At 49.6% G+C, this 12,120-nt stretch overlaps 1 protein-coding gene across 16 annotated transcripts in view; it reads right to left on the bottom strand.

Moving 5' to 3' along the window:
* BCOR (BCL6 corepressor) overlaps positions 1-12,120 on the bottom strand; it is a 126,032-nt gene that overhangs the window by 74,237 nt on the left and 39,675 nt on the right. The window lies entirely within an intron of this gene.

Raw genomic sequence — 12,120 nt, forward strand, 5'->3', positions numbered from 1 at the left:
CTCGACCTCCCAAAGTGCTGTGATTACAGGCATGAGCCACCACATCTGGACCTCTTCAGTCTCTTCTAATCACTACATTTTTCCTCCCTCACGCCCAACCAAGTGAGTGAGCCACCATGGAAATGTATCATCCAGCATCCCAGCTTCAACTCCTCCACCTGAAGCCCCAAACATTGTGAGCAGAGACAATCCATCCCTGCTGTACTTTATCTGAATTCCTGACCCACAGAAATCAAGAGATAGAATACATTGTTATTGTTGGTTTATGCCACTACATTTTTGGGCAACTTGTTATGCAGCATTAGATAACTAATATGGGGGTGGGTGAGTTCCCTCAGAGCTGTCACAGCTGAGTGTGTTCACAGAAGTTAATGGCAAGCCTAGAGGGCACATGTCTCACAGCCTCCAGGCAGACAGAAGAAGTCACTAAAGAATCATCTGGGAGTCGGCCAGGCGCGGTGGCTCACGCCTGTAATCCCAGCACTTTGGGAGGCCGAGGCGGGCGGATCACGAGGTCGAGAGATTGAGACCATCCTGGCCAACATGGTGAAACCCCGTCTCTACTAAAAAAAAAAATACAAAAATTAGCTGGGCGTGGTGGTGCGTGCCTGTAGTCCCAGCTACTCGGGAGGCTGAGGCAGGAGAATCGCTTGAACCTGGGAGGCGGAGGTTGCAGTGAGCCAAGATCGTGCCACTGCACTCCAGCCTGGCGACAGAGCGAGACTCCGTCTCAAAAAAAAAAAAAAAAAAGAATCATCTGGGGCTGGGTGGTGGCTCACACCTGTAATCCCAGCAGTTTGGGAGGCCAAGGTGGGCGGATCACCTGAGGTCGGGAGATCGAGACCAGCCTGGCTAACAGAGTGAAACCCCACTTCTACTAAAAATACAAAAAATTAGCTGGGTATGGTGGTGCATGCCTGTAATCCCAGCTACTTGGGTGCCTAAGGCAGGAGAATCGTTTGAACCTGGGAGGCAGAGGTTGCAGTGAGCCGAGATCGTGCCATTGCACTCCAGCTCGGGCAACAAGGCAAAATTCCGTCAAAAAAAAAAAAAAAGAAAAGAAAAGAAAAAAAACCACGAAAACAACAACAAAAAAGAATCATCTGGCTGGGCACAGTGGCTCGCACTTTGGGAGGCCAAGGTGGGCAGATGGCTTGAGCCCAAGAGTTTGAGACCAGCCTGGTCAACATGGCGAAACCCTGTCTCTACTGAAAATACAAAAATTAGCCGGGTATGGTGGCGTGCGCCTGTGGTCCCAGCTACCCAGGAGGCTGAGATGGGAGGATTGCTTGAGCCTGAGAGGTGGAGGTTGCAGCGAGCTGAGATGGCACCACTGCACTCCAGCCTGTCTCAAAGAAAAAGAAAAAAAAAAAAAAGAGGAGGTTAGGACACACACACACACACACATTGGGAAGAACATGTGAAGACACAACAAAGAAGGTGGCCATCTTCAAGCCAAGGAGAGAGATCTCAGAAGGAACCAACCCTGCTGACAACTTGTTCTTGGACTTGCAGCCTCCAGAACAGTAAGACAATATATTTCAGTTGTTTGAGTCACCCAGTGTATGTTACTTTGTTATGGCAGCCCCAGCAGACTAATCTAGGGTGGAATCTCCATCTCTTCCTCGAGGATCTGAGTTGGCATCATGACTTGCTCTGACCAATAGAATGCACCAGAAGTGACACTGTGTGACTTCTGAGGAGAAGCCTTAAGAGACTTTGTAGCTTCCTGCTTCACCCTCTCAGGCAGTTCTGAGGCTGCCACGTAAGGAAGCCAGTCTCACATACTTGAGGATGTGAGGCCACAGGGAGAAGAGTGACAGTTCACTGCAGCTGACAGCTGGCACCAACTGCCACACTGTTCATGAGGCCATCTTGGATCTCCCCACAGCTGTTGGCTAGCTGACTGCAGCTGCATGAGTAAACCCAGATGTAACCAGCAGAGGAACAGCCCAGCCAACTTACCCAATTGTGATAGAAGAAGAAATTGTTGCTTTAAGCTACTATGGTTTAGAGTGTTTTGTTACATAGCAATAGCAAACTGATATATCTCATTGAAATATACTCTAGAAGAGTTTCCATCCAAAAGTCTTAGAAGCAAGTCTGTTGACTAGGCAGTGGCTCACACCTGTGATCCTAGAACTTTGGGAGGCTGAGGCAGGATAATCACTTGAGCCCAGGAGTTCGACACCAGCCTGGGCAACATAGTGAGACCCTGTCTTAAAAAAAAAAAATTAAAATCTGGCCAGGAGTGGTGGCTCTCACCTGCAGTCCCAGCTACTGAGGAGGCTGAGGTGGGAGGATCACTTAAGCCCAGGAATTTGATGCTGCAGTGAGCTATGATCATGCCACTGCGCTCCAGAGCAAAACCTTGTCTCAAAATAAATAAATAAATAAATAAATAAATAAATAAATAAATAAATAAATTTAAAAAAAAAAGGCAGCAAGAATACTGGGGAAGAGGCCGAGCGCTGTGGCTCACGCCTGTAATCCCAGCACTTTGGGAGGCCGAGGCGGACAGATCACGAGATCAGGAGTTCAAGACCAGCCTGGCCAATATGGTGAAACCCCATCTCTACTAAAAATACAAATATTAGCCGGGAGTGGTGGCATGCACCTGTAGTCCCAGCTACTTGGGTGCCTGAGGCAGGAGAATCTCTTGAACCCGGAAGGAGGAAGTTGTAGTGAGCTGAGATCACACCACCGAACTCCAGCCTGGGCAACAGAGTGAGACTCCTTCTAAAAAACAAACAAAAAAACAAAAAAGTATATTGGGTTAGAAGCCAGGTGCAGCGGCTCACAGCTGTAATCCCAGCACTTTGGGAGGCCGAGGCGGGCAGATCATTTGAGCTCAGGAGTTTGAGACCAGCCTGGCCAACATGGCAAAACCCCGTCTCTACAAAAAATACAAAAATTAGCTCGGCTTGGTGGCACACACCTGTGATCCCAGCGACTTGGGACGCTGAGGCTGGAGAATCGCTTGAACCCGGAAAGCAGAGGTTGCAGTGAGCCCAGATCACGCCACCGCACTCTAGCCTGGGCAACAGAGTGAGACCCTGTCTCCAAAAAAAAGAATATTGGGGAAAAACTCCAATGGCATCTGTGCTTACTGATTCCAATTCTAGGGCACAGCATAGATGTAACTCAGGAAATAAAAGGGAGCAGGGACCACCTTGCCTGAATCATCAGGGGAAAGAAAGGAATACCTCCTTTTCTTTATCTGCCCTCCAATAATAAGTGGCTCCCTATGCAAGTCATACCCTCAGATGGCTTTTTGTAAAAAACTATGTTGCCCAGGCTGGTGTCAAACTCCCAGCCTCAAGCAATCCTCCCGCCTCAGCCTCTGGAGTAGCTGGGATTACAGGCGTGCAGATGTCTATTAGTCAAATACTCTCTGGATACACAGGCCTAGAATCACCATGGAAATAGCTGCCATTTATTAAGTACCTACTATGTACTTGTTGCATATTCAATGCATTCCCTTATTCAATCCTCATGGAAGTACGGTCAAAATGAGGCACTAGTCACAACTAAATGACCCTATTTTGCACATGATGAAGCTGAGACTCAGAGAGGTTAAGCGGCTCTCCTGAGGTCGCAGAGCTAGTGGGCATAGACTCCCAAATGGACAGTCTTTCCTCTTAGCCAAGGTGTGATGTTTAAGGAAGGTGACATAGGAGAACGGGGATCTCAGCCCAAGTGAGTAGAAACAGGAAAAGTTAGCCGGGCATGGTGGCTCACGCCTATAATCCTAGCACTTTGGGAGGCTGAGGCGGGCAGATCACGAGGTCAAGAGATCGAGACCATCCTGGCCAAAATGGTGAAACCCCGTCTCTACTAAAAATACAAAAATTAGCTGGGTATGTTGGCACGTGCCTGTAGTCCCAGCTACTCGGGAGGCTGAGGCAGGAGGATCACTTGAACTCAGGAGGCAGAGGTTGCAGTGAGCCAAGATCATGTCACTGCACTCCAGCCTGGCGACAGTGAGACTCCGTCTCAAAAAAAAAAAAAGAAGAAGAGGAAAAGCTGGTCACATAATGGGGGGGCCAGGCCTCAGTGGCAGGGCTGGGGCCAGGCCAGGTATATAAGTAGAAGGAAGAACTGTGGGCAGAGCTTCCAGGAAATGTCTTAGGGAGAAGGGGAAACAGTCCAGACGGAGGGAGGGAGGAGCTGCGGGGCCTTAGGGAGGTGGGGGTTGGGGTATGGGCGAAAGCTGTTTCACTGTCCTTTCCTTGGGAGCAGGAGTGGTGGCTCTGCCTCTAAGAACAGACTCCTTGCCGGGTGCGGTGGCTCACGCCTGTAAACCCAGCAGGCGTGGGAGGCTGAGGCAAGCGGATAGCTTGAGGTCCGGAGTTCGAGACCAGCCTGGACAACATGACGAAACCCCGTCTCTACCAAAAATACAAAAATTAGCTGGGCGTGGTGGCGCACACCTGTAGTCCTAGCTACTTGGGAGGCTGAGGCACGAGAATTGTATGAACCAGTGAGCCAAGATCATGCCACTGCACTCCAGCCTGGGCAACAGAGCGAGACTCCATCCAAAAAGAAAAAAAAGAAGAAGAACAGACTTCACCCGTGCAGCAGGCACCTCCTCTACCACCCTCCGGGCCTTCTCCTCCATGACTCTGCCTCCCCTGCCCCAGCAACTCCCTATGCACCTGCCCTCCTTCCCTGTCCCTCTTCATCTAAATCTTCAACAGGTGGAGAGCAGCCTGATTAAGGGTGCACCCCAATTCCCTCCTTGTGGTCACACTATGAGGTGGGCACTTAGTTACTCTCCTTTTACAGGTGAGGAAACTGAGGCATGGAGACTGAGGGGAGGGCAGCCTGCACTATGACCTATCCTAATGACTCAATCTGGGAGGTTTCCCCTGGTCTTCCTGGTCCTCCAAGACCCGCTCTGCCAGGGATTCCGGGGTGCTGACTCACACATCACTCCTTCAGGCCCATGGTGTGAGTTCGTCAATGAGATCATGGAGACGTGTGACCATTTTTAGCCCTTGGCTAGGTGTGGGGCACATAGAAGGAGCCCCATCATGTGTCGCATCGCTGTGCAGCTCCAAGCCTACCCCTGTCTGCTCTCAGCAAGGCAGCTGCTGCATGTGAGGCTTGGTGGTAATGAGGGAAGCATGTCGGTGGGGAGGTTCAGGAGCCCCAGAAGGAAAAGAAGAGGACCAGAGAGAGCAGGTTCCTCGGAGTGCTAAACACAGGCCCAACTGCCTTTTTCAGGAATAAGGGTGTGGGCCAGAGGGGCAAACGACCCCCTCCACAAATGCCAGTGAATTGCAGCAGGCACATAATGGCTCCTCCCTCTTGTGTCCTGCCTTCCAAGGGTACCCTATTTGGCAAATCCTACCCACTCTGGCAGCCCCTGGAACCCAGCCACCCTCTTAATGCCCCTCATCCTGAGGCATCTGTCATGCAAGCCACCCCCCACCTTCCCTGGGGAGCTGGCTTGCTGGCCCCAGTGGTCTCCATGTGACCTTTCCTCAGCTCCTCCACTGTCTCCAGACCTGAGGTGAAGAAAGCAAGGTCAGAGAAGGGGCCCACTCATGACCGTGAGACAGAAGACCCACGCCAACCAAAGCTGCTCTCTTTCTCTCCAGCTGCCCCTCAGGCCACCATTGCAACAGATGACCCTCCTGGGCCCCAAACCAGGTTGTCTGACCTGAAAACACTCAGTACTCAGCCAGGTGTTCCCATTCGGAGCCCAGTGAGCTTGCACTTGAGATCAGGCACATGGGTAAGGCTGATATGGGGGTGACAGTGAACCACAGATCTTGCAGTCCCAACCTCCTGAGAGAGCTGAGCTGGTCAGAATGAGAAGGTGCTCACTGCACCCTGCATTTACTATCCAAAAGGACTAGAAATGACTAGAAACTGAGAAAAACAGGCCAGGCGCAGTGGCTCACGCCTGCAATCCCAGCACTTTGTAAGGCCGAGGCAGGCAGATCACCTGAGGTCGGGGGTTCGAGACCAGCATGGAGAAATCCCATCTCTACTAAAAATACAAAATTAGCCAGGCGTGGTGGCACATGCCTGTAATTGAAGCTACTCAGGAGGCTGAGGCAGGAGAATCGCTTGAACCCAGGAGGCAGAGGTTGCAGTGAGCCAAGATCGCGCCATTGCACTCTAGCCTCGGCAACAAGAGCGAAACTCTGTCAGTAAAAGAGAAGAGAAGAGAAGAGGAGACAAGACTGAGAAAAACGGTCCCTATGGCCCAGTAGACATGAACAACTGCAAGCGACTGGAGACCTGGCACCTGGCACTGGCTTTACCCTGTTAGCCTCCAGGCCTCAAATTAGAAGGAGGAGGGGAACTCATGCTTGTCCAGCACTTCAGCAAGATCATCTCACTGAATCCTCATAACAACCCCATGAGATACCGTGGTGGTTTTAAACACGCCCGCTAGTTATTCGACACTCTTCCCACCAAGAGGTGTGGTCTCTGTCTCTACTTCTAGAAGTCTGGGTGGGCTTGTGACTGCTTTCAACACAACAGAAGTGACACTCTGAGACTTGTAAGACAAAGGCAGAAGAAGCCATGCAGCTTGCTCCTGGCTCTTTTTGGGGCACTTGCTCTGAGAGAAGTCAGTAAGAAGTCTACTGCCATGGCAGAGACTCACAACATAGGTGCCACAGTCAACAGCCCAGCAGAGCTCCCAGCCAATAGCCAGCATCAACTGATTGCTACAGGAGTGTGCCATCTCGGATATCCTTCCGATGGCTGCAGCCCCTGTTGATGTGTGACTGCAACCGAATGAGATATCCCAAGTGAGAAGTACCCAGCTGAGTCCGTTCCAGAATTCCTAACCCACAGAATTGTGAACAAAATCAAAGAGTTGGGGTTTTTTTTGTTTGTTTTTGAGACAGTATCACTCTGTCACCCAGGCTGAAGTGCAGTGGTGGGATCTCAGCTCACCACAGCCTCGACCTCCAGAGCTCAAGGAATCCTCTCACCCTAATTTTTGTATTTTTGTAGAGACAGGGTCTCCCCATGTTGCCCAGGCTGGTCTCCAACTCCTAGGCTCAATTGACCTACCCGCTTCGGCCTCCCAAAGTGCTGGGATTACAGGCATGAGCCACCAAACCCGGCCAAAGAGTTGTTTTAAGTGGCAAAGTTCTGGGGTAATTTGTTGCATGGCACTAGTCACAAAACAGATCCGTGGTGTTCCCACTTGAAACTGAGGTGCAGAGGGGCTGAATAACTTGCCCATGGTCACACACCTGGTAAGTGGCAGAACTGAGACTCAAACCTGGTCTCTCAGAATCCAAATCATAGCCCCTTCTCACGGTGCCCCCCTAACATTTTCTCACTTCCAAGAAGAGAACATTCTTTTCAGACTCGACTAGTTTCCAAACCTGGCTGTGCGTCAGAGTCAGCAGTGGCGTGTTAAAGATAGAGATTTCCAGGCCCCACCCCAGGCCTAGTGAGTCAGTATTTTCAGGCGTGGGGCCAGGACTCTGAATTCTGAACTGGCACCCCAGGTGACCCTGAAGCAGTTAGTGCGTGAACCGGACAGTGAAACCCACTGCTCAGCCAGGTTATTACAGAAAACTGGAGGGGACCAGCAAGGTTTTCTTCAAAATATAGCAGTTTCAGAAAATCCCTCATGATCTGAGCTCATCTGCTTCAATTTCTTTTTTTTCTTTTTTTCTTTTTTTTTTTTTTTTGAGATGGAGTCTCGCTCTGTCGCCCAGACTGGAGTGCAGTGGCATGATCTCAGCTCACTGCAACCTCCGCCACCTGGGTTCAAGTGATTCTGCTGCCTCAGCCTCCTGAGTGGCTGGGATTACAGGCACATGCCACCACACCTGGCTCATTTTTGTATTTTTAGTAGAGACAGGGTTTCACCATGTTGGTCAGGCTGGTCTCGAACTCCTGACCTCGTGATCCACCCTCCTCGGCCTCCCGAAGTGCTGGGATTACAGGCGTGAGCCACCGCCCCCGGCCATCTACTTCAATTTCAACTTTTTTTTTTTTTTTTTCTTTTTGGAGACGGAGTCTCGCTCTGTCGCCCAGGCTGGAGTGCAGTGGCGCTACCTCGGCTCACTGCAAGCTCCGCCTCCCGGGTTCATGCCATTCTCTTGCCTCAGCCTGCCGCATAGCTGGGACTACAGGCGACGGCCACCACGCCCGGCTAATTTTTTTGTATTTTTAGTAGAGACGGGGTTTCACTGTACTAGCCAGGATGGTCTCAATCTCCTGACCTCGTGCTCTGCCCGCCTCGGCCTCCCAAAGTGCTGGGATTACAGGCGTGAGCCACCGCGCCCGGCCTCAATTTCAACCTTCTTGGCCCTAACATCTGGGGAGTCTTTTCTACTCCCACACCACTAAGAGACAGAAATTGATGGGAGGCTATCCAACCAGTAAGTACACTCATGTGTATTAACACCTTGCTAGGCTCTGTGGTCCCTGTGCTCTAAGAACTTACAACTGAAGCGAGGAGATAAGGCGTAAAGTCATTTCAGAGCAACCAAATGATAAGTTTTGTGGCTGTGACAATAAGCACAAAGGCATCTGGGAGAATTAGACTGAAATGTAACCCCCTAGAAATTTGGGAGGGGCTCCGCAGAGGAGGTGGGGCCTGGAGCTGGGAGTCAGGGTGAGCAGGGGGATCACTCCAGGCAGGGGGCTCAGGGGCTGAGGCTCCCTCCCAGGGCAGAACAAGCAGGAGGGCATGAATGGGTAGAGGGACTCACTGGGCTGCCCCAGGGGTGTGCTCTGTGGCAGCTGTGGAACCAGAGGAGAGGGGAAGACGAGGACCAGATCAGAGAGGGGTCAGGGGACTTGAAGTCTGATCCAGATTTTTATTTTCTCAGTTTCCAAAAGCTACTGTCATTTACAGATCAAGGACATGGTCAGGCGTGGTGGCTCACACTTGTAATCCCAGTACTTTGGGAGGCTGAGGCGGGAGGATGGCTTGAGCCCAGGAGTTCAAGACCAGCCTGAGCAACATAATGAGACCTTGTCTCTACTAAAAATAAAAAATTGGCTGGGTGTAGTGGCGCACACCTGTGGTCCCAGCTTCTTGGGAGGCTGAGGTGGGAGGATCACTTGAGCCCAGGAGGTTGAGGCTGCAGTGAGCCATGATCACACCACTGCATTCCAGCCTGGGTGACAGAATGAGACCCTGTCTCAAAAACCAAACACCAAAAAATAAAAAAGGCAGTCCCCCTTCCAAGTCCAGGCTAGGATTAGTTACAGAAGATGGATCAACTCACACACCTTTGGAGCCAGGAGCCAGAATTCTCCCAAATAAGAGACTGAATCCCCATGGGGCTCCACCATAAAACATATCTGCCCCAGTGCCCCAGTCTCTTTGCTTACAAGATGTAAACCTTGATGCTGCTACCTTGAATTTTTAGACAGTGGATTCCTTTGATTAGAACCACTCTGGGCAACGGTGATGAGATTCCATTAACCATCGGAATCAATTGAACCAAGAGCTTTCCTTCCTAAAGGGAAGGGCTAGGTTCCAGTACTTGGCTGACTGCAGAGCCCTGGAGGAATTCATTGAAAGGAGGCCCAAAATTAGAAATCATCACTTTCTGCAGAGACACTTAGGAATCCCCCCCACATTATTCAAGGACAGCAAGAGAAAGGTGGGCAGAACTGGGGGGAAAAGGAGCTGCAAGGAAGAACGCGAATCTTTGGCCAGCTCATATACCTTCATACAACAGATGAAGGTGTGTCCTGCACAGCCTGCGAGACTGGCTAAAAGTCTAGCTTTTAGTCACACCTCCTGGATCCTATGCCACATCTCCAAGACATGCTTAGAGGTAAGCAAGGAAACTTGCTCGGTCTGGGGTCTCCTCTGAGCTTTCCCACCTGTACCTTTCCTGCAAGGGAAACCCCTGTAGGAAGAAAGGTCTCCATTCCATCATGGCTTTTTTCTTTTCCTTCTTTTCTTTTTTTTTTTTTGAGAAAAGAGTCTCATTCTTTCGCCCAGGCTGAAGTGTAGTGACACAATACTCGGCTCACTGCAACCTCCACTCCCGGATTCAAGTGATTCTCGTACCTCAGCCTCCCGAGTACCTGGGATTACAGGCGTGTACCACCATACCTGGCTAACTTTTGTATTTTTAGTAGAGACAGGGTTTCACCATGTTGGCCAGGCCAGTCTCGAACTCCTGACCTCAGGTAATCTGCCTGCCTCGGCCTCCGAAAGTACTGGGATTACAGGTGTGAGCCACCGCGCCCGGCCCTTCATGGCCTTTTTGTCTCTCAGCATTGGGATGGCCGGTGGCCCATCTTCCCAGGTTTCCTGAGATTGGCGGCAATGACCCAGAAGCCTCTGGTGACATCATAAACCATCTCGGGGAGGGTAATGTAATTATTGCATGGATTTATTTAAATTTAATCTAAAACTGAAGGTTTCAACAAGGGTCGTTTTATCATTTGATATATGTGTTTGTATATATAAATGTCACAGCTAGAGATACATAGTTTTGGTTTGAAACACCTGTTTCAGATTGCATTACTCTTCCCAGTGCTTCACCTCCCCCTGTGTCCACACCTTTTAGAGGTAGAGCATGCCTCTTCATCCCACCGATGTCAGGCCACATGACTTCTTCTGGCCAATAGATGTAGGCAGAAGTAACAGTGTGCAAATTTTGAGTCCCGGACTTAAGAGTCATTGCATTTGCACTCTACCCTCTTGCACTTTTGCCATTGTCATGAGAAGAACATGTCCCAGGTAGCCCACTTGTCCGTAGAAGATGAGGGACACGTGGAGCAGCTTTAGATCCAATCCACACTTGGAGTCAAGCCCTGTTGAGCACATTCTAGACCAGTGAACCACAGGTGACCCACTGACATGTATGTAGGAAATAAGTGCTTACTGATGTTTTGAGGTGGTTTGTGATACAACAGTGTTGTGACAAGAGCTTATTGATATATCGCCTGAGCACGTTACTCGGTCAACCCAAGGCTCATACTGCACAACCTACCATCTAAAAGAACACTCGTTCTACCTGCTGTAGATAGAAATAACTAACTACATAAAAGAACATTCCATCTCTCTGTAGCCTCACACCCTTCTTAATTCTTCCGAGTATTTATTACAACCTGCAATATTATATATTTTTATTGCTCATGTACTTTTTCTCTCCCCAGTAAAATGTAGTTTTATGATGTCCAAGATATTGTTTTTGTTCCTGCTATAAATGTCCAAAGCTTTGGTAGGCGTATGGTGGGTGTTAAATAATTATGTGCAAAATAGATGTCTATGGTCTTTTTTCTCCTTGGTTAATATGCCTCTTACCTAATTTACGTTCCTGTGTGCAGCTCAATGACTTTGCACTAAGCAAAGTTGAGGAAGAAAAAAACATTTTGTAGAACAAAATATGCAAACAGGAGACCTCCCAATTTTGTCCCTGATGAAGAATGAGTTCTTCTTCCCCAAAGAGCCAGTCTCCATGGTTGGGGCCCTTAGAAACCACAGCAGACCTCCAGAACTGTGGCAAACCAGCAGGTGGCTTTGCCAGTGCCATCCAATATAACCAAGACGCAGCTAAATTTCTGGATACCGTATCAGGGGCTGTCCTCAACCATAGGAGGTTTCTCTGTGTGTCACTTCACTGGGGGGAACTTCAAAGGGACTTATGTGGCTTCCAAGAGCTGTCAGAATGTTTGACTCTCTGGCATTGTGCCGGCATCACACGTTAATTAAATTATATGGCAGATACACCTCAATGTCAAAGTCAGATATTATAGCCGTCAAAGCCTAACATTAGGTGCAGTATTTTATAGCACAGAGTATACCTTTAAACAAATTCCTGGCCGGGCACGGTGACTCACGCCTGTAATCCCAGCACTTTGGGAGGCCAAGGCAGGTAGATCACCTGAGGTTGGGAGTTCGAGACCAGCCTGGCCAACATGGTGAAACCCCGTCTCTACTAAAAAAATACAAAAATTGTCACGTGTGGTGGCACACACCTGTAATCCCAGCTACTTGGGAGGCTGAGGCTGGAGAATCACTTGAACCCAGGAGGCGGAGGTTGCAGTGAGCCGATATGGAGCTATTGCACTGCAGCCTAGATAATAGAGTGAGACTCCATCTCAAAAATAAAATAAAATAAAATAAAATAAAATAAAATATAAAATAAAATAAACAAA

The sequence above is a fragment of the Homo sapiens genome, chromosome X (genome assembly GCF_000001405.40).
Source record: "Homo sapiens chromosome X, GRCh38.p14 Primary Assembly".
Classification (NCBI taxonomy): Eukaryota; Metazoa; Chordata; class Mammalia; order Primates; family Hominidae; genus Homo; species Homo sapiens.